Source organism: Homo sapiens, chromosome 4 (assembly GCF_000001405.40).
Source record: "Homo sapiens chromosome 4, GRCh38.p14 Primary Assembly".
NCBI classification, from domain to species: domain Eukaryota; kingdom Metazoa; phylum Chordata; class Mammalia; order Primates; family Hominidae; genus Homo; species Homo sapiens.
Window position 1 is genome coordinate 186939596 of NC_000004.12, and position 23485 is coordinate 186963080.

The 23485-nt window shown below is 44.0% G+C and overlaps 1 long non-coding RNA gene across 6 annotated transcripts in view, besides 2 other annotated features; it reads left to right on the top strand.

Moving 5' to 3' along the window:
- The window catches only part of LOC102723906 (uncharacterized), a 220555-nt gene that overhangs the window by 98934 nt on the left and 98136 nt on the right, over positions 1 to 23485 (top strand). The gene's annotated exons all lie outside the window — the stretch shown is intronic.
- Positions 7058 to 7845: an enhancer, noted in NCBI's record as "H3K4me1 hESC enhancer chr4:187867807-187868594 (GRCh37/hg19 assembly coordinates)". NCBI's record gives its function as "activates a minimal SCP1, AML or CMV promoter by ChIP-STARR-seq in naive H9 embryonic stem cells {active_cell/tissue: H9 hESC(naive)}" and the evidence as "EXISTENCE:reporter gene assay evidence [ECO:0000049][PMID:30033119]".
- Positions 19438 to 20637: an enhancer, noted in NCBI's record as "CDK7 strongly-dependent group 2 enhancer chr4:187880187-187881386 (GRCh37/hg19 assembly coordinates)". NCBI's record gives its function as "activates an origin of replication core promoter dependent on BRD2, BRD4, P300/CBP, MED14 and CDK7 cofactors, with strong dependence on CDK7, by STARR-seq in HCT116 cells {active_cell/tissue: HCT116}" and the evidence as "EXISTENCE:reporter gene assay evidence [ECO:0000049][PMID:35650434]".

A 23485-nucleotide genomic window follows, 5' to 3' on the forward strand; every position in this document is an offset into this window, starting at 1 on the left:
GAATGCAGCATGCTATGAGCCTGATTTTAAAAGAAATTTTAATTTTTTTGAATAAAATATTTTAAAAATGCATATGTCACTTGCCTCTTCATATTTAATGCACTTTTAGCAAAACTCATGTTATGAACTGAGAAGGGTCTGATGTTTTACTCAAATTGCAAGCTAACAAATTAGTTTGCTATGATTGCTGGAAGAAGACATGAGACTTCTGTATCAAAGACAAAGGATTTTATTATTCATAGCAATAGTAGTATTCAGAATATAAGCACTCTTGGGCCAGTTCCCCAGCCCTAATCCACCAAGGCAATGAGAAGGTGACCAAGTGACATCTGAACATACAGTGGGTTGTGTTAGAAAAGAGGAAGTTGACCTTGGGAAACCTGAATCTTTTGTAATTGGCACTTGGCATGCTTGCTATTTGCTAGGAAGGAAATGTCATTTTTATTATACTGTACAGCATGCATGTATATGTCTCTTGTTGTGGAGGGAGATACTATCTTTGTCTTTCAAGGCTGTAAGCAATTTTATCCATTGGTCCAGAAGGAGATCCTATCACTGTCTTCCCATGCTATACAAGGCCTCCTTGAAAAGACAGCTGAGAGCAAAGATAGCTAGTGCTTCTGTTTGTAAGACATGCAGAAATGTGAGAGACCCACGAATTGTCTCCCCAAAACTAATTTTAAAATATGACTTCAGTGTGCAAGAAATGGTCAAAATAAAAATCTAAATAAATTTCTACCATAAAGAAATATTTCAAAAAAACAAATATTTCATATGTAAGAGGTAATCTCATATGTAATTTCATATGTAATCTTCAGTACGTAAGTACTTAAAAATATTCTTTATTTTAAAAGTATTGTATGTTTACTTATATATTCAATGTAAGATCAACAAATTTTTCATGTAGGCAGTGAAAGTACAAACAAATAGGAGTAGTAAGCAGTTTGGAACACTGATTTCAGTGTTCAGCTCCTTGATCAAGTATTTGGTGAAATCACAACCACCAGGGTGTGGGTGCGCCTGTTGGGCAGCAGTGACAAATGGCCTTCCCTAGGATGGCCTGTAGATGTGTCCTTGGCTTTGCTATCTGGACTATTGCCCATCCCAGCGGCTTCCCTGTACCTCTTATGAAACAACAGGAGCCTGTTAGGCTTTGGAGTTTATCTAGTTTTACAAATGTTCCAGAAAATTTGCTCCATCCCAGGATAAGCTGTGGACACATAGGTAGGATCATGATGTGGATTTATGTTTCAGATTTACCACAGAGTGGTGTGTTAGACCATTTATGCTGCTGCGACAGAGTACCACAGAATGGATAATTTATAAAGAAAAAAGATTGATTTGCTGTATGGTTCTGGAGGCTGGGAAGTCCATGGTCAAGAGGCTGCATCTGGTGAGGGCCTTCTTGCTGCATCATAACATGGTGGAAAGCATCACATGGCAAGCGAGGGTGCAAGACAGAGATAGGAAATCATTCAAACTCATCCTTTTATCAGGAGCTCACTTCTATGGTAACAGCATTAATCCACTCAGGGGGACAGGAGCCTCATGACGTAATCACCTCTTAAAGGTCCCACCTCTTAATACCATCACAATGGCAATTAAATTTCAACATGAGTTTTGGAGGGGGCATTCAAGCCACAGCAGATAGTATTGGTCTGATGCAGTCCCAAGTGTGATGGAATCTAGAGATCTCTTCAAAGTAGGAGAGGAAGTTTAGAGTGTCCACAGAATGCTTTTGCTTCTTGGTAAAGTTTGAGTACAATACATACTAATCATTGTGTAGCTGTCATATTTTTCTAACAACTTCAAAGACACCAAATCTAATTTACCTGTAAGCAGAGAGACACATCCTATTGTAGATTTAACTTTGCTCAATAGGTCCTTATGAGGGAGGAGTGTCCATTCTGTATCACTGGTGAATAAGTGAGCATATGAAGATGAAACGATCCACAAGGAAGGCAGGGCATGGAATGGAATTTATTTTATTATATTTTTTATTTTTTTGAGATGGAGTCTTGCTCTGTCACCAGGCTGGAGTGCAGTGGCATGATCTGGGCTCATTGCAACCTCTGCATCCTGGGTTCAAGCAATTCTCCTGCCTCAGCCTCCCAAGCAGCTGGGACTACAGGCATGTGCTATCATGCCTGGCTAATTTTTTTGTATTTTTAGTAGAGACAAGGTTTCACCATGTTGGCCAGGCTGGTCTCGAACTCCTGACCTCAAGTAATCCTCCTGCCTCAGTCTCCCAAAGTGCTGAGATTGCAGGTATGAGCCACTGCACCCGGCCAAGAATGGAATTAAGAATGTTCAGTTTCTTATTTCAGCCTTGGAACACTAATATTAATTGAATGTGTTGTTTTCTCCTAAATTTATGTTTGTATTTTTTCATTGGTTTAGTTCAGTTGGAAGTGTAATTTCACATTAACGGGGGAACTAAATCAATTACATGTGTTCTTAATGTTCCAGTAGTGTCTGCAACTTGGTTAAACACTGAAGTGGTTTGGAACACGGCATTAGCCAATATAGCCAGAAAGAAAAAGGGAAGAAATCAGTAGAAAAAAATGCCTATATCAATATTAACTTCTTTTTCAGCATTCAATATGCTTGACTTTTTCTCTTATGACACCTTAACCTCCTCCTAAATGCTAGCTGTCTAGACCTACTTCCTATACTCCTATTTTCATATTACTTTTTGTGTTTAAACATTTACTTCTTCACTATTTATTTCCTTTGCCTTTCTATCCACTATTTTCTTATTCTCCCTTTTTTTCCCTTCATTTAATAGTTTCTGAAAACTCATTTTTATCACTGAGTGTTTTTTTTTTAGCCTTTTCCAGAGGCAGATAATTACCACTAGAATGATCAATGGCTTTGGAGAAATGAATTAAAACATTAGTTCCATGGATAAACTCATACTTAATGTTAGGAGATTTTGATTTCCAGATAGGGGATTTTTTTTTTTAATCATCTAGACTACTCTTGGCTTTCCCTGCTAATTCTTAAGTTTGTGTACAATGTCCAACCTAACCGTGTAGGCTGATTGTTGAAAGGAACACTGGTGAACAGATCCAAATCTGTCACACTCCAGGCAAATAGCAATGGTGACACAAAAATGAGAAATAGGACTGCTGTGGACTATTTGTGTCACCCCAAATTCATATTTCGAAACCCTAATCCCCAAGGTGATGGTATTAGGAGGTGGGGCCTTTGTGAGTTGATTATGTCATGAAGGTGAAGCCCTCATGAATGGAATTAGCGTCCTTATAAGAGACCCCTGGGAGATTTCTAACTCCTGCCACATGAGAACACAGCGAGAGGACAGCTGTCTATGATGCAAGAAGCAGGCCCTCAGCAGGCACTGTGTCTGCTGCACCTTACTCTTAGACTTCCCAACTTCCAGAACTATGAGAAATGAAGGCTCGTTGATTATAAGCCATGCAGTCTATGCTATTATTGTTATAGCAGCCTGAATGGATTGAGACAAAAACCCTCCTCAACAGAACTTTAGGCTCCTTAGCCAGTGTTATGGAGCTCTTTTAAAAAGCATAGAAATCACTGGCAAAGAGCTCCTGGCATTGAGCCACGTGACAGTTAGCAGAGGCTGCTTTCTGCTTGGCCAGCTGTGCAAGGAGACAGAGCAGGGGGTCAGCAGAGGGAGCTGAAACAGTAAGACTATAAGCAGAGGAAGAGTGGCAGGAAAGAACAAAACTCAATTCAAATGTTGCCAGCACACAGTGAATTGCAGGGAACCGGCTATCATGAGAGAGGGTCCCAGGAGTACACACATCAAATGTGGTTTTTGAACCAGAGGACCTCCTGACTGCTGGTGGCAGGATGTCTCTATTCCATGTAGTTATCAATGTGTTACTCTTTTCTTTGGTTGAAAGGATTTTGGGTCAGGCACTGATCTTTCTTTGAATATATGTGCCTGTTGGATGCCTGAACAGTGAGAAATGCAGGAACGTGGTAGTTAGTGATGGTTAGGAGAGCAGGGGAAGGCACAAAACCTGAATGTCACAGGAAATTGTGCAAGTATAATAAAAGTAACAGATAGCATTTATTGCTTGATTGCTATCTGCCAGGCTCAGTGCTAGGATATGGAAATATAGAGTCACGCCAAGTAACTTTGGTCCCTGCCCTCAAGCTTAGTCTGATGCAAATCCACCATGAACCAGGGAATTGACAGGCACTGAAGGTAAAGCCAGTGCTTCAAGACGTCAGACAAGACAAAATGTCAGAAAAACAAACAACAGAGGAATTGCTATGGGAATCTTGAAAGAAAAGCTATTTCTTCTGCAGCCAAGAAGGCTTCTTTCAAGTAGGGGTGCAGATGTCTCTCAGTGGATGTGATATACCGAGGTCTTGCAGAATGAAGCAAGGGAGAGACAAAGGGGTGGGGAAAGTGGCCAACCTGGCGGGAGAGGGGAGGGCAGCTCAAAACCCACCCACCGGCCAGACATTTACTTTAGGTCAACACCTCCAGCCCCGTAGAGGCATACTGTGCATGCAAACAGACAGTGAGGGTTTGATTCTGAAAACACAAAGAACAAGTCTGGCTGTACCACACCTCTCCTTAATCCTCTTCATTTCTCTTCTCATCTCTTATTTCCCGCTCAGATTTGAGGCTCGTCGTGTCTCAAGAGCCATGCTTGGTGCCTAAGCAGTAACCAAGAAATATGGACTTTGCTATTAAAACAGATGTTCTTTAGAGGGTACTAGAGGCTGGGAAGAGGAAGGGAAAAGGGAGATAGGGAGACATTCTTTAAAGGATAAAAAATTACAGCTAGATAGGATGAGTAGTCCTGGTGTTCCGCAGGTCTGTAGGATGACTATAGTTAACAATAATACATGATATGCTTTCAAATAGCTAGAAGGAGGATATTGAATGTTCCCAACACAGAGAAATGACAAATGTTTGAGAAGATAAATACACTAATTACCCTGATCTGATCACTATACATTGTATGTATCATCACTATGTATCCCATGAACATTATGTGCCAATTAAAAAAATAAAAGAAAATATTTTTAAAAGGGGATGCTCTTTGTTAAGAAGAGAGATGGAAATGAAAGATGTCAGTACAGTGCATTTAAGTACTACTGGAAGATGTTTAAAGCATGACGGGATCCTTGAGATGGAACGTCTAATTCTAGGGGGGTGGATTTTAAGGATGTTCAAAGAGAAGGTGACATTTACGCAGAATTTTGAAGGACAACTAGTAGTTTGCCAAGTATATGGTTCCTGGGGTTCAAGGGTAGCTTTGGAGAGAGGAGAAAGCATTCTAAGCAGATAAATAGCACATGTGCATGTAAACAAGAGTGGAAATGCATCGGGAACCCAGGACACTGCGGGACTGTGGTATGGAAAGGGAGAGCTACAGGCAGAAATCAGGCTGAAAGGTTGGGGAGTGAGAGGGTAATAAAGGCTCTGCTTGTTGCAATGTACTCAAATTTAGGGGCGCCTGCCCAAGACATGCCTTTTTACAGGGGCTGCCCATCATTCACAACCTTGCTGGAGATGTGAGCCAAGTTAACATGCCTGTCTCTGGCTGTCCCTGGCTAGAGCTGATTGGACAAGGGTTGGTTCTGTGATCTTGGAGGAATCTAACAATAGACTTGGCTGAAACAAGCGTAAGACTTGTCTTCCAAAATATGAACTAAAGGTCTGATTGGTGTGTGATGGATGTGTGAGCAGAGGTACCGAGAGCAGGGGCTGAAGCAGCTCTTCTCCACCTCCTGAAGTACAGCTGAGCAGGTCTGTAGAGAGAAGCACAGGCACTCAGGGAAAGTGGAGACGAGGCCATGCGAGTCATGAGTGGGGCGTTGGTGGTGCACTTCCTGCTTTGTGTGCCATAGGATAGCTCTGTAGACTTTCATAAATACCCCTTTTAGGGAGACTCCATTTGCGTTCTTTGCAAACAAATGCACTGCTGTAAAATACATGCCATTCTAAAGAGTTTGGATTTTATCCTGTCAGTATGGGGAATCCATGAAAAATATTAAGCAGGGTTAACATAGATTCATTGTGTTGTCTTATAAATTAACTTGACTGCAACTTGAAGAATAGTTCAGAGAGGAGCAAAATCAGGAGAGGAAAACGCTAGGAGGCCATGGGAACAATCTGGACAAAGCCTGACACATCCCTCAGCTGAGGAGAGGCCTGGGGGAAGAGAGAGTCTAGATCTAAGGACATCTAGAGAGCCCCAGCTGAAGGACTTGTGAATGAGTGTTGCCGAGGCTACAGGTTGGGTGGGTATTGGCTCGCTTGTGGGACTGGCATATTGGTAGACGTGGTAAAACTTTAGAAGGAAAGAGATGTGCAAGTGAAAAAAATGAGATTCATTTCAGAGACATTGAGGCACATACAGGATATTCTTATGGAGTTATAGGCTCCAAGGAAAGTTCTGGGCTGCCACATGCAAATGGGCGTTGAAACAATGGGTGTGAAAGTGATTGCCTGTGAGGAGCAAGTGGAATGTGGAACACAAAAGTCTAAAACAGAGCTGGGAAGAAGGCATTCCTCAAGGAGCGGGCAGAAAAGGCTGAGAAGGGGTGAATTGGAGAACAAAGCCAGCAGAGCAGCATCAGAGAAAAAAGTGTGGTTTCAAAAGAAAGAGTCAAATGGTGCAGCACAGTCAATGAATGTAAGAGGTGGATTAAGACGTTTCAAGGCCATGCTGGACTCTGGCACAAGGCGTGCCAGGCTCTAAGGCGCAACAGCCCAGGCTGGCCAGAGGCACTGGGTTTGGGAGCCACTGAGCAGAGGTCACCTGCGGTGGCGGGGCAGGGGGGTGCGGGGGGAGCCACTGTCCACAGCCTTGATGGCCAGGAAAGGCTTTTAGGGATTTGTTAAACACTGTACATATTCTCAAGTCTGGGGACTTTTTAATTTCTTTTTTTCTTTTTCTTTTTTTTTTGCAGTAGGCTTTTTTTTTAACTCTGAATTTTAACAACCTAACTATCTAAGAGATTTAAGAACTGCAGTTTTTCCAGGCTTATGAAATGCAAAATGTTAAACCTCCCACTTTGCTAATGAGAGAATACAATTACTGTCTAACCAAAATAATTTAATGGCTAAGTGAGATAATTTAAAGGATCTGGAAGAGTCATGAATGCAAATAAGTGATTTTCTGCAATGTTTATCTGCCCCTCCCAGCTGAAGTCACTGAGTATACCAGCAGCTGCAGATCCCACTGAGCAGCGCTGACGGGATGGGATGGAGCCCAGGCCACCTGCTGGCCTGAGATGCAAGGTTCCCTCTGGCTGCGGGTGAGCCTTGGGCACAGGGAGTCAGCCTCCTGCAGGTGGGGCCTGGGCCTGTCTGATACCCACAGCCTTTAGTGTCTGTCTTCAGCGCGTTTTGCTCTCTTTTCCTACCTAGACTCCAAGATTCCTTGCCACCTGTGCTCCTGCCGCCGTTCTCCGCCATCTGATAAGCACTCTCTGGGCCCTGACACTGACCTGAACTGGACCAGGGTTAAGCCCAAGTCGCCCCGTCCTTCTGGGAAGGCTCTGTGGAGTCTCCCACATTTCTCTCCAGCTGCCTTCACCTCTCCCTTGCTCCATGGTCTTGAGGGCTCAGCCTTCCGGCCCCCATTCATTAAAGTTCATGATTTTCAATCACAAAGAAATGGCTACTTTACCAGAAAAAGCAGTCAGTTTGCTTAGGTATTTTTCCAGAGACAAAATGGAAGTTAAATGAAAGAAATAAGGTATCGCATTCCACCTAAGCCAGTGGGTAGCTTTACTTGAAAAACTGCCCGAATGTCCCTGTTTTGTCGTTGAGTGAACAGAGGAGCGGATGTGAGCATTTTTCAGCAGAGATGTGCTGCTTTGCAGGGAACAGGCAATATGGATGCATGTAAAATTCTTGCTTGAGGATTAAGAGTCCAAATGTGTTTTAAGAACTGGCTATGCAAAATCTCAGATATAACTGATAAACTGTTGTAATCTGGTTGGCATATAGTCCTGTCTGTACCACACTTTTTCTTTCCCTAAAACACAATTTGGCTTTCTACTTGTTGAACAAACAGATATGGCAAATAAAAGAAGGACAAATGTTATTGATTTTTTTTTTTCCTGAGAAAGAGTCCTGCTGTGTGGCCCAGGCTGGAGTGCAGTGGCGCGATCTCCGCTCACAGCAACCTCTGCCTTCAGCATTCAAGTGATTCTCTTGCCTCAGCCTCCCGAGTAGCTGGGATTACAGGCATGTGCCACCTCACCCAGCCTTATGAAGCGATTTTTACATATGACATTAGAGATATCAAAGGGGAGTGTCTTATGGTAAAAAAGCTCTACACGTTTTTAAAAACATGATTCCACTGGTATACATTTTTCCAATAAAACTCCAAAATTGATCCTATCCTAGGTATAATCTTATCCTTCTTCACACCTCTCCCATCCTTAAAAAAACTCTAAGTTAATTGGCCTTGGGAACATTTTTGGTTTCAATATTTACATTAGGATTTTGATTTTTTAAAATAATTATTGATCATTTCCAGTTTGAAAATGTTAAAAAAAATTTTTGAACAGTAACAAATTTTAAGAGGACTTTTTATCCCCTAAAGAAAGCCAGTTTATATAGAACTACTGTTATGCCAGTATTTTAAGGTGCCAGGTATATTTTCTGCTCTGATGAAATATTTAGGTAATTTCTAGCCAGACGAGATCAATAGAACAGGGCTGTACACTTTGTCGATATTTTGAGATTCTTTTTATTCCCAGACCACAAATGGACAGAGGCAGCTTTGCTCTTAAGAAGCGAGTATTTAACCACTAAAAATAGCTTATAGAATGTGAAGTCACCAAAAAGATATCTTGAGCATGGGAAAAAGAGAGCCCTGCGATCTCCCTTCTGTGATAAGAAAATTTCAAAGCACATTAGGGACTGGAATCTATCAGACTTCCATTCCGTCCCCAGAGGTACTTATTTTGGGAATGCTTACAGATGATAAAAACATGTTTGTACACTAACTACTCAATCTCCAGGCTAAATATACAGTCTACAGACTGTGTTGGTGGCTGCGAAGGCATCGTTTTCCTCGCAGCAAAGCCAGGGCTCGATTGATGGAGAAATCAGATTAGGAACCTCATTAGCCTTTGAAATGCGTGGCTGTGGGGCGAGGCCAGACTGAGGGAGATTCAGGGAGGCCAGTGAGAAAACCAACAGCTGCAGGAAGCAGTGTTCATCAAGTGGAGCACATCTTGTGGGGGTTGGAGTATTTGGAAAGATCTCAGAAGATATGCTTTCCTTTTCCTGTCACCAATGAGATATGCCTGGAATTGCTCGTTTTGTATATCTTAGAATGGGAAATGTCCAGCTTACGAATTATTTTGAGGTTAATTGCTCTTAGGAGATGTTTGGCTGTTGCTGCATTTTTGTAGCCTTCCTCTTCCAAATTGACATCACCCTTTCCTACGTAGTGGGTGAGATCCTATTGTGTCTAGAGATAGAGACAGATCAGGGCTGTCTGTGGCTGGGAGTGATGGCAGTCTCCAAACAGAGAGGGGTTTCTCTCGCTCCCTGTCGTCCCATCTCAGGCCACAGGTGGGCAGCGGAGCCCAGAGTTAAGTGGGAAGCCATGAGTGGGCAGACATTAGCTGTGCCTTCCTCTGCCTCAGGGGTCACCATCAGGATTTTCATCATTGTACTCGCTTCCCTTTCGTACCCTACCACATCCAGACTGGACCTGTGATGGGAGCTGAGGCTCCTTCTGGGTCTCAGTGTGTCTGAAACGGTCCTGTGTTGGGTGCTGGGATGATAGAACCGACACCCAGTGAGTCCTAGCAGTGGAACCACCTGCCCTGCTAATCAGACAACTGGAAACACCATTCCAAGTGGTTTGGAGAGAGCTGTGGCTAAGTATTACTGTCTTTTTAAATTCAAACGTCGTGTTAGTTTGTTTTCAGTCCCCTGTAGTTGTAGCCTTCTGAAAATAAGAGGATAGCTTGTTCAATTATTATGGCTCTAAGGAGAATTGTTGTAGGAGGGGAAGAATTCCCTGCTGAAGCCTCTTGGCTTACATGTATTAATGCTAACTAGTGGCCCTTTAGGGCATACATAATTGTAAATACAGCTATGTACTGCTTAACAAGAATACTCTGAGAAATGTGTCATTAGGTGATTTTGTCATGCAAACATCATAGAGTGCACTTATACAAACTTAGATGGCATAGCCTACTACACACGGAGGCTGTATGGTACAGCCTGTAGATCCTGGGTTACAAACCTCTACGGCACGTTACCGTACTGAATACTGTAACACAATGGTAAGTATTTGTGTATCTAAATATATCTAAACATAGAAAAGGTAGAGTAAAAATACAGTATCATCATCTTATGGGACCACCATCCTATGTCGATCCATTGCTGACCAAAATGTCGTTATGTGGCGCGTGACTGTATAATCCTGTTTCACCTGTAACAGCCGTGTGATTTTGTGGCTCATATCTTTATATAAATAGCAGGTTAGTGCTTACTGGCTGTATGTCCTTGGGCAGTCACTTAATGTTTCTGAGCCACTGTGTCCCCACCTGTGAATATAGGAGTAGCACACCATTCAAGAGTTTTATTAGAAATCAAGCAATGTGCTATTATGTTTACCGTGTAGCAGGTATGCAAGCAGTATACACAATTAATTATTATTAATTAAATCTCAGGTGCTCCTGTAATTTACTCCTGTTAATCATTACTAGGGAGGCTTCCGTTTCCGTAGTTCCCAATCTTTTTAAAAATTGATTGCTAATATTTGTACATATTCACATGGGACGTGTGATATTTGGATACATGCATAGAATGTGTAATGATCAGGGTATTTAAGATAACCATCTCCCTGAGCATTTATCATTTCTTTATGTTGAGGATATTTCATATCTTCTCTTCTAGTTATTTTGAAATGTACAATAAATTATTGTTAACTATAGTCACCCTACTGTGTTACTGGACGCTAGAATGTATTTCTTCTCTCTAACTGTATGTTTGTACCCCTTAACCAGCCTCCCTTCATCTCTCCTGCCACCCCCTTTCCCAGCTTCTTGTGTCATTCCACTCTCCACCTCCATGAGATCATCTTTTTTTGCTCCCATATATAAGTAAGAACATGTGGTATTTGTCTTTCTGTGCCTGGCCTATTTCTCTGAACATAATGACCTCCAGTTCCACCCATGGTGCTGAAAATGACAGGATTTCATTCTTTATTATGGCTGAATAATATTTAATTGTGTATGTATACTCCATTTTCTTTATCCACTTGTTCGTTGATGGATACTTAGGTTGATTCCATGTCTTTGCTATTGTGAATAATGCGGCAATAAGCATGGGGGTGCAGGTATCTCTCTCTTATACTGATTTCCTTTCCTTTGGATAAATTACCCACTAATGAAATTGCTATATTGTATCGTAGTTTTACTTTCAGTTTTTTTTTGAGAAATCTCCATTTTACATAATGACTGTACTAATTTACAATCCCACCAACAGCATCCTTGCCGGTATCTATTTTTTGGCTTCCTGTTAGTAGCCAATCTTACTGGGGCAAGACAATCCTCATTGCGGCTTTGATTTGCATTTTCCTGGTGACTAGTGATTTTGAGCATTTTTTCATATACCTGTTTGTCATTTGTATGTCTTCTTTAAAGAAATGTCTGTTTAGATCCCTTGCCCATTTTTAGTGGGATTATTTGTTGTTGTTTTGTTGTTGAGTAATTTGAGTTTCTTGTATATTTTGGATATCAGACCTTTGTCAGATGAATAGTTTGCATATATTTTCTTCCACTCAAGAGGTTGTGTCTTCACTCTGTTGGTAGTTTCCTTTGTTGTGCAGAAGTTTAGTTTAACATAGTTTCGTTTGTCTATTTTTTGTTTCCTGTACTTTTAAGGTCTTAGCCATAAAATCTTTGCCTAAATCAAGGTCCTTGAGTGTTTCTCCTGTATTTTCTTCTAGTAGTTTCATCCTGTTGGGTCTTATATTTAAGTTTTTAATTCATTTTGAGTTGATTTTTGCATATGGTGAGAGATAGGGGTCTAGTTTCATTCTTCTGCATATGAATGTCCAGTTTTTCCAGCACCATTTGTTGGACAGAATGTCCTTTCCCCAGCATATATTCTTGATGCCTTTTTTCAAAAGTCAGTTGGCTATAAGTACATGGATTTAGTTCTGGGTTCTCTATTCTGTTCCACTGGTCTATGTGTCTTTTTATACCAATACCATGCTGTTTTGTTTGCAGTAGCCTTATAGCATATTTTGAAGCCAGGCAGGGTGATGCTTCCAGCTTTGTTCTTTTTGCTCAGGATTGCTTTGGCTATTTGGGCTCCTTTTTGATTCCAAACAAATTTTAAGACTGTTTTTTCTATTACTGAGAAAAATGTCATTCCAGTCTGTTTATATCCTCTCTCAGGCTACTTCATACATGCCTGGATTTGAATCTCGAAGCTTGTGGTTCTTAAGTTTTTTATGTCGAAGAATCCCCTGGATTGTGTGTTAAAATGCATACCTCCTGGCACTACCTGGAGAGGTTCTAAATGTAGGTTTTTGGTGAGGCCCAGCACTGCATTGTTAAGAAGCACCTCAGGTTTTTTTGATCCAGACAGGCTGATCACAATTTGAAAAATAAGACCCAACATGTGAAATTCCCTGAATACATGAGCCTTTGGTTTCTCATCATTTGCCACTTACCTGTCATTTATTGAGCAGCCAACTATGTGCAACATATTTTTCTAGGGTATTTACATACAGTATTTTTTTGTCTTCATAATAGTCTGATATTATAATGATTAGTGTCCTGGTTTTACATTGAGGAAACTGAAACTGGAATGTCCCAGAAAACTCCTTCACTCACATGTCTGGCCTGGCCTGAGATGGCCGAAAATCTGAGGGCTGACTAGCATTGCTCATTCTTTATTTTCTGTTAATCAGTTTATATACAACCCCTAAGCAAGATAATATTATGTGTTCTGAAGTTCATTTATTTGCACTGCTATATAATATTCATTGATTTAACATAATACCTCTTGAAGAGTAACCAAGGACCAAGAACAGTATATGCCAAGTCAGAGTTTAATTTTTAGAGCAGCAATACCCTGGAGTAAGTTCAGTGAGTCTCTCTGAAAGCTCCTTCCAAATACGGTGAGATTGTAAAAGGCACTTTTGGATTGACTGTGATAAGGAATTGAGAAGTCGCTCTTGGCAAGGATCATCATTGCAGCCTAATGTCTTCTGCGTGGGCATTAAAGCTGGCCCAGTTCTCTACAAGGTGTAGGATGAGTGGTAGAGGCTCAAGCAGGCTCAGAGTTAGGCAACAGTCAAATCTGTTTGCCCATGAACATAGCTGGGCAAAGGTTCTTTTTAACACATGATCAAATTATCCATTCCCTTTGCCAATGGACATTTGTGTTGTTTCCATTTTTTTTTTTTTGCTATTAAAAATAATGCAGCTATAAACACTTTGGACATGTCTCCTTGGAGCACTTGGGGATCTCTCTCAAGAAAATATTCCCAGGAGTGGAATATTTGGGCCACCGTGTACGTGGGTCATCAAGTTTCTTAGATAATGCTAAATTGTTTCTAAAAAGACTTGTGTGAGTCCACACTCCCACCAGCAGTATGTAAGTAAGACCTGTTGCTGTCCAGTCCCACAACAGGGTGCTCTTTCTGGTGGCAGTGAATGAATGGATCCCTTGTGAGTCAATTTGGGATGTGATAGGAGAGTTAAATAAATGCAACATTATAGAATCTGTACAGAATCAGCATCAGGGATCTTCAGGAAGGAACTTGGCTTATACATCATTTTTTGGTACCAAAATACCTCATAGAATGCTGCACCCCGTACATTCATATTTACTGAGTTATGAAATTCTAGCCCATGAAATTGCCTTTCTACCTGGTTTGTGTGTTTTTAAAAATCCTTAAAAGGCTTGCATGCATTCTGTCTTCTCTGAAATACACATAATTCCAGTCTGTCATATAGGATTTTTGTGTGGGTTTATAATAATGGGTTTAATGGCTAAAAAGCATAATGCAATGTTCATATAAATAATGAAGTTGGTATATCAAAATAAAAGTGGAGAGATGCTCAAAGGCTGAGTTAATGAGAGAAGACAAACACAAAAATCTTTGACTGTCTTCAAGTACAGTAAAATTTCAGCTGTGTCATCACTGGGGGTTTTCCTGGATGCGGAACAGCTGTGACTGCTTCGTGTAGCAGGTGCTGGACTTCACCGGTCTCTATAGTGGTAGCAAATTTGGGTCACCGGGAAAGGCAGTTCTTGCTGTTCCTGTCACTTTCTAGCCATCTGAAAAAATGATACAGTGTTGTTAGGATCACAGAAGGATATGGAGAACACCCAAAGTCCAAGGGGCATTGGCCAATAAGAAGACAAATGTGGGATTTGTCCTCTTTGCCACTAAATTACCAGAAAGAATGCTGCTCACGTTGATCATGACTCAGAGTCAGCGCCTCGGTGCCCGGGAGGAGTCTGTGAACTTGTGTGGTGATTCGGCTCTGGCCCTGAGGGACAAATGTCCGCTTTTGAAAACCACCAGCCACTCAGCAGCCCTCACGACGGAACCAATCAGCCACTGCATGTTCAGCAGTGGAGCCGATTGCAGGAAGACCTCTCTGGGAGAATAAGAATAGGACCAGCCAAACTTCCCTTTAGAAATAAAATTCAGCTCAATCCAAAACAGTCATATTGCATTTTTATTATGTCCACCACAGTGAACTGGGGATTGCGGGGGAGACAGAGAAGGAAGGCATGGCTCTGGCTTCAAAGACCTGGTAATCAGATGTGTTCTTCACTGAAAAAGGGAAGAGAGGCAGAAAGAAGGAAGCCACGTTTGCTGTCAAGCCTTCACCCTACCTTGCTTGCAAAATTATAATTTACAAATTTAACATTAGTGACTTTCAGAAAAAGATAGGCAGCAGAAACATAGGAACTGGCACTTTCTTAGATGTATGTTGCCGATGAAAGAGGGAAAAGATGTAGACAAGAAATCCTCTCTTAAAATGGAGAGCTGGGGAAAAGTCGGGTCTCTCCTATCAAAGAGACAACTACAAGTGCTGCTTGCTTCTGTGTGTTTGACACCGCAGTCGGTGAACTGGGCCAATGTCAGCCCACAGAAATTGGAACAGCCTGAGTATATCTGGAAGCAAATACTCCACAGATGGAGAGGGAAGTGGGAGGTTAGCTCAGACCACTTGATTTTACTTAAACAGCTTTCAATTTTGTGAACTTGGAAAAGAAAAGGCCAGCAGAACTAATAAAGTCCACGTGACATCAATTCTGTTTCTTTAACACCTAGATAAATAACAAGTGAAGTCCACTGTCACCAAACATGGGACCTATGTTGCAATTCCCTTTCCTAAGGAGGGTCGTTTTCTGATTGCTGGGCATGAGTATGAGTATTTGAGAGGCATCAGATCATAGAAGGAGGCCTTAATAATTGTGGGCATGTACGTGAAGAAAGGGCAGATGCAGCAGTGATTATTTCCTGTTTAGAGATGTTTGTCAGGACACCTTCGAGGGTGGGAACAAGTTTCCACGGTTAGCAGAACAGATGGACGGAAGGGCAGCTGAGCCCTGCTTCCACAGTGGACTCCAGAGCTCTTGGGTAACATTTAGGATGCAGCCATCCAGAAACATCGTGAGGCCAAATGTAGGAAGATGCCAGGACCCAGGTGTACCCAGCGTTGGGGTGAACTAGTTTGTTGCTTAGAACTAAATCTAACTCAGGTTCTCTTTCTGCAGAAGGCTTTACAAGACCATAAGGGAGAAGGGAGAAGGAGAGGCAGTCTATAATTGCCTCTACCATCTTCACTCCCACCCCTAACCTTACTCATGCCAGCCTTCTCTTCCCACATCCCATACTTTTCTTATTCAGAATTCATTAGCCAGAAAATATAGTAGCAGCCATAACTGACATTTTCATATTGACATGTAATGTCTAGGTCAATTCTCAGCCAAGTGTGATTTTACTTCCCAGAGGACATTTATTGGTAGCTAGAGATAACTGGGGTTGTCACAACTGAGGAGGGGGATGCTACTGGCATGTAGTGGGGAGAGGCCAGCCATGCAGCTAAATATCCTACAAGGCACAAGACAGCCCCAACATTTAAGAATTATTGGGCCCACAATGTCAATAGTGTCATAGTTAAGAAACCCTGGTCTAAGGCCAGACGCAGTGGCTCATGCCTGTAATCCCAGCACTTTGGGAGGCCGAGGCGGGTGGATCACCTGAGGTCAGGAGTTTGAGACCAGCCTGACCAACATGGAGCAAACCCATCTCTACTAAATATACAAAATTAGCCGGGCGTGGTGGCACATGACTGTAATCACAGCTGCTCAGGAGTCTGAGGCAGGAGAATTGCTTGAACCCCAGCGGCGGAGGTTGCGGTGAGCCGAGATCATGCCATTGCACTCCAGCCTGGGCAACAAGAGCGAAACTCCATCTAGAAAAAAGCAAAACAAAACCGGAAACCCTGGTCCAAGATAAGATGTGAATTTTGCTGAGAAAAACTGGAAAGGTTGAATGGAGTCGGATCAAGTTGTGATGGTGGATCTAATTTTATAAAGTTGATTTTAGACTTTATTTCATTGGCCATTAAATATTAGCAGGCAGTTTTAGTGATGTTTTTGTCATCAGTGCTCTTCTAACAGCCCTGATGATGGATTTCCTTTTTATAACATGTTGCAGATCACACTTGTGAATCACATCTTCATTCTGTCAGTTGCTGACTTTGGGGGAAAGGTGAGATTTCCTACCTACCTTCTAATCTACATTCTCTTGTTTTTCCTAAGTGGGTAGGATCTTGTTGTCTAATGATCTTTTTTGCTCTTGAGGACATTTACATACCCAGTGAGAAACAACAACATACTTTGCATGGCCACTGGTTTGATGTTCATTCTCTTTTAATTTATTTGAATTTAATTAAGATAATCTTATTTAGAACTCAACTATTAACATGGCGAATACATTGGTTCAGTCGTGTGAACCAACAAAAGGTTTTTTTATTTTTTAATTTATATATATATATATATATAGTTTTTTTTATTATACTTTAAGTTCTAGGGTACATGTGCACAACGTGCAGGTTTGTTACATATGTATACATGTGCCATGTTGGTGTGCTGCACCCATTAACTCGTCATTTACATTAGGTATTTCTCCTAGTGCTATCCCTCCCCCCTCCCCCCACCCCACAACAGGCCCCGGTGTGTGATGTTCCCCTTCCTGTGTCCAAGTGTTCTCATTGAATGGGCAAAAGCCAACAAAAGTTTTGATGTGAAGCCTGCAGCATGCTCTCCATCTGATTGTGTTTATCTTCCTTTCTGATCTCTCGGGGTAACTAACTACTGCTTCTGGGGCAGATGGCATGATGGCTTCTTCTGCTGGGCTGTGCTGCATGACTTGAGATATGACAGAAATCTGGAGATTTAGTGCAGATGCCCAAATATTAGTTGACCTCGAATATAAAACACTCTTGATGAGAAGTTCCTGAAGTTTTTTTCTTTTTTTGGGCCATCTTGAACATATGAATATTGAGATTTAGATAAAATAATCAATACAGTTAATTAATTTAATATTTAATAAATTTAGTTGTATCCATAATTTAAAATTCCTTTATTATCTAAGATAACATTTGAACAGTATTTTTTTCGACTTCTCACTTTGGTAAAACAATTTAGTTTGGCTCATGATGTGTGGCTCTAAATAGGGGATCTTCATCATCACCAGAACTACTTTCTGAGCTCTCTCCTATGACATTTTTCCCACGTCATAATCCATTGATTTTTTTGAGAAGTAGTTTTTTAAATAATATATGTGATGTCATTGGAAATTGTATCCCATGCTGTAGCTGCCCATTCACACAACATTAAAAATTACTTTTTCATTCATCTTTTTACATGCCTGTTTGCAACATTCACTTACATGTGTGAGGTTAAATATCTGGAGGAATAATGATTATAATGATTATATCTGTTTAGCGAATTCTGAAGGGTGACTTTTATAAGCAACAATCAACTAGCAAAGACTGAGGTCATTTCAGGATTTGTCTTTCATAAGCCATATTTTGTTGTTCATAATAAAGTATCTAAGATGGCATCCTTTAAGGTAAATCATTTTGTAAGATCACAAATGGAAGACAATTACTCTTTTCTGAGGTACATTTTTGTTTCAGATGAAAAACTCCCACCTTAATGTTTGAATATGCAAAATATGTAATTGTATATTTTTCTATTTTGATTCATTAATGTTATTATGAGACTTTCACTTGGCTTTACTCTGATAACTCATTTATTACCTGACTATAACTAGGATACACTAAGAAAAATCGGATATAATAGTTGAAAACTGGGCTAATAAAAGATTTTAATTCTAAGCTCAGTTAAGTTTTGCTAAAATAATTCATTGAAAGCTACTAACTGGATTCGCCCTAGTTCCTGTTCCAATATCTAAACTATAGAAAAGGCTTTTATTTATTTCTTAAATAAAAGATTCCTGAAGAATGCCCACACAAGAGAAACCACAGAGCCCAGATTCTCCCTTTGTATGAACTCATCCTGAAACCACACATTTACTCCCAGAGAGGTAACAATATGTTTCTGCAATGATATGCAGGTTAAAAAAAAGCTTTCAGGACAAAAAAAGAAATGAATAAAAAATCAAGCCAAAACACATGGATTCCAGGTGTGCATCCAAGACAGCTTTTTGACAGATGTAAATATTTCCTGAGCAATTTTGCTGATCTTATGATGTGTATCTCACAGCCATTTCCATAAAAAAATGCAAGTGAGTCAGGATGAAAGAGACTTCCACCTGGACTTCAACGTCTCCAGCATTTACTACCTGGGTGATCTTGAACAAGTCACAGTTTCTTTTCAATTTTCCTTATCTCTGAGGACGCTTCTCAGGCTGACTGCCAACAAATATGTAGGAAAACATACTCAGTACAAAACATCTGCCTGGCACATAAACATTGGTTGAAACTGATTAGTAAAAGTATAAAACTTGCTGATGACTTAGTGATTATTACTGCTGTCTTCAATTGCCAGTAATTTATTTCTACTATCTTGATGGTAAAGGCGTGATTTTTTTTTTTTTTGAGGGGCTGCAATAGTATTCTCTATTTATAATTTGGGAAAAATTACAAATGTTTTTGCTTTCAAAATCTGGAATAACAGAGGCCAGGAATTGATAGGCCATTTTAGATTTTTCCAAGTGGAGTTCTTCCTGGTCCAGTTTTCAGTGGATTTGGGGATAAATAAGTTTCCCTCCAGGTTGTGGAGTGCTTTATTTCCTGGAACTTTTTCACATGAAGTCATCACTTGTTCTTTATTTAGGTGGGCCTACGGCCACATTTGAATCAGATCAGTGTAAACTTTGACTCGTGTACTGAGACTTCTGGAAAAGACAGCACACTAGCTTGGGAGTCTGACCCCCTTCCTTAAACTCAACCTGAAATGCTACATAAGCAACTGGGAGAATGACTGCTAACAGAATCAGTACAGCTCTTGCGGTAGCAGAAGGTGTTAGGTGATTTTCTGGGAGAGAGCAGCCCATACCCGAAGAGAACCAGCTGTCACTAATGAGGGGACACTGTGGGAAGGAGCTTTCTAGTTGTCCTAAGGTTTTCATCCTTCGTTGCCTCAGAGGGAGCATTGTTTTCCCCCATCCCTGCAGGTGGGGAAACACAGCATCCCCAGGACGGCACATGAGGAAGAGGGAGGCGACATGCGAGTGCTGAGGAGGAACCCCGGACGCCACCATTTCACATGGAAAAGGCAGGCACCATGCGAGTGCTGGAGAGGAACCCCGGACGCCACCATTTCACATGGAAGAGGCAGGTGATATGCGAGTGCTGAGGAGGAACCCTGGACGCCACTATTTCACATGGAAGAGGCAGGCGACATGAGAGTGCTGGAGAGGAACCCCGGACGCCACCATTTCACATGAAGAGGCAGGCGACATGCGAGTGCTGGAGAGGAACCATGGACGCCACCATTTCACATGGAAGAGGCAGGCGACATGCGAGTGCTGAGGAGGAACCCTGGACGCCACCATTTCACATGAAGAGGCAGGCGACATGGGAGTGCTGAGGAGGAACCCTGGACGCCACCATTTCACATGAAGAGGCAGGCGACATGCGAGTGCTGAGGAGGAACCCCGGACGCCACCATTTCACATGAAGAGGCAGGCGACATGCGAGTGCTGGAGAGGAACCCCGGACGCCACCATTTCACATGGAAGAGGCAGGCGACATGCGAGTGCTAGAGAGGAACCCCGGACGCCACCATTTCACATGAAGAGGCAGGCGACATGCGAGTGCTGAGGAGGAACCCTGGACGCCACCATTTCACATGGAAGAGGCAGGCGACATGCGAGTGCTGGAGAGGAACCCCGGACGCCACCATTTCACATGGAAGAGGCAGGCGACATGCGAGTGCTGGAGAGGAACCCCGGACGCCACTATTTCACATGAAGAGGCAGGCGACATGCGAGTGCTGAGGAGGAACCCTGGACGCCACCATTTCACATGGAAGAGGCAGGCGACATGCGAGTGTTGTGGAGGAACCCTGGACGCCACCATTTCACATGAAGAGGCAGGCGACATGCGAGTGCTGAGGAGGAGCCCCGGACCGCACCATTTCACATGAAGAGGCAGGCGACATGCGAGTGCTGAAGAGGAACTCCGGACGCCACCATTTCACATGGAAGAGGCAGGCGACATGCGAGTGCTGGAGAGGAACCCCGGACGCCACCATTTCACATGAAGAGGCAGGCGACATGCGAGTGCTGGAGAGGAACCCCGGACGCCACCATTTCACATGGAAGAGGCAGGCGACATGCGAGTGCTGGAGAGGAACCCCGGACGCCACCATTTCACATGAAGAGGCAGGCGACATGCGAGTGCTGGAGAGGAACCCCGGATGCCACCATTTCACATGGAAGAGGCAGTCGACATGCGAGTGCTGGAGAGGAACCCCGGACACCACCATTTCACATGAAGAGGCAGGCGACATGCGAGTGCTGAGGAGGAACCCTGGACGCCACCATTTCACATGGAAGAGGCAGGCGACATGCGAGTGCTGGAGAGGAACCCCGGACGCCACCATTTCACATGGAAGAGGCAGGCGACATGCGAGTGCTGGAGAGGAACCCCGGAAGCCACCATTTCACATGGAAGAGGCAGGCGACATGCGAGTGCTGAGGAGGAACCCTGGACGCCACCATTTCACATGGAAGAGGCAGGCGACATACGAGTGCTGTGGAGGAACCGCGGACGCCACCATTTCACATGAAGAGGCAGGCGACATGCGAGTGCTGAGGAGGAATCCTGGACGCCAAGATTTCACATGGAAGAGGCAGGCGACATGCGAGTGCTGGAGAGGAACCCGGGATGCCACCATTTCACATGAAGAGGCAGGAGACATGCGAGTGCTGAGGAGGAACCCTGGACGCCACCATTTCACATGGAAGAGGCAGGCGACATGCGAGTGCTGAGGAGGAACCCCGGACGCCACCATTTCACATGAAGAGGCAGGCGACATGCGAGTGCCGGAGAGGAACCCCGGACGCCACCATTTCACATGGAAGAGGCAGGCGACATGCGAGTGCTGAGGAGGAACCCTGGACGCCACTATTTCACATGGAAGAGGCAGGCGACATGCGAGTGCTGAGGAGGAACCCCGGACGCCACCATTTCACATGAAGAGGCAGGCGACATGCGAGTGCTGGAGAGGAACCCCGGACGCCACCATTTCACATGGAAGAGGCAGGCGACATGCGAGTGCTGGAGAGGAACCCCGGACGCCACCATTTCACATGAAGAGGCAGGCGACATGGGAGTGCTGGAGAGGAACCCCAGACGCCACCATTTCACATGAAGAGGCAGGCGACATGCGAGTGCCGTGGAGGAACCCCGGACACCACCATTTCACATGAAGAGGCAGGCGACATGCGAGTGCTGAGGAGGAACCCCGGACGCCACCATTTCACATGAAGAGGCAGGCGACATGCGAGTGCTGGAGAGGAACCCCGGACGCCACCATTTCACATGGAAGAGGCAGGCGACATGCGAGTGCTAGAGAGGAACCCCGGACGCCACCATTTCACATGAAGAGGCAGGCGACATGCGAGTGCTGAGGAGGAACCCTGGACGCCACCATTTCACATGGAAGAGGCAGGCGACATGCAAGTGCTGGAGAGGAACCCCGGACGCCACCATTACACATGGAAGAGGCAGGCGACATGCGAGTGCTGGAGAGGAACCCCGGACGCCACTATTTCACATGGAAGAGGCAGGCGACATGCGAGTGCTGAGGAGGAACCCTGGACGCCACCATTTCACATGGAAGAGGCAGGCGACATGCGAGTGCCGGAGAGGAACCCCGGACGCCACCATTTCACATGGAAGAGGCAGGCGACATGCGAGTGCTGGAGAGGAACCCCGGACGCCACCATTTCACATGGAAGAGGCAGGCGACATGCGAGTGCTGAGGAGGAACCCTGGACGCCACTATTTCACATGGAAGAGGCAGGCGACATGCGAGTGCTGAGGAGGAACCCCGGACGCCACCATTTCACATGAAGAGGCAGGCGACATGCGAGTGCTGGAGAGGAACCCCGGACGCCACCATTTCACATGGAAGAGGCAGGCGACATGCGAGTGCTGGAGAGGAACCCCGGATGCCACCATTTCACATGAAGAGGCAGGCGACATGGGAGTGCTGGAGAGGAACCCCAGACGCCACCATTTCACATGAAGAGGCAGGCGACATGCGAGTGCTGAGGAGGAACCCCGGACGCCACCATTTCACATGGAAGAGGCAGGCGACATGCGAGTGCTGGAGAGGAACCCCGGACGCCACCATTTCACATGAAGAGGCAGGCGACATGCGAGTGCTGGAGAGGAACCCCGGACGCCACCATTTCACATGAAGAGGCAGGCGACATGCGAGTGCTGAGGAGGAACCCCGGACGCCACCATTTCACATGAAGAGGCAGGCGACATGCGAGTGCCGGAGAGGAACCCCGGACGCCACCATTTCACATGGAAGAGGCAGGCGACATGCGAGTGCTGGAGAGGAACCCCGGACGCCACCATTTCACATGGAAGAGGCAGGCGACATGCGAGTGCTGAGGAGGAACCCTGGACGCCACTATTTCACATGAAGAGGCAGGCGACATGCGAGTGCTGAGGAGGAACCCTGGACGCCACCATTTCACATGGAAGAGGCAGGCGACATGCGAGTGCTGGAGAGGAACCCCGGACGCCACCATTTCACATGGAAGAGGCAGGCGACATGCGAGTGCTGGAGAGGAACCCCGGACGCCACTATTTCACATGGAAGAGGCAGGCGACATACGAGTGCTGAGGAGGAACCCTTGACGCCACTATTTCACATGGAAGAGGCAGGCGACATGCGAGTGCTGGAGAGGAACCATGGACGCCACCATTTCACATGGAAGAGGCAGGCGACATGCGA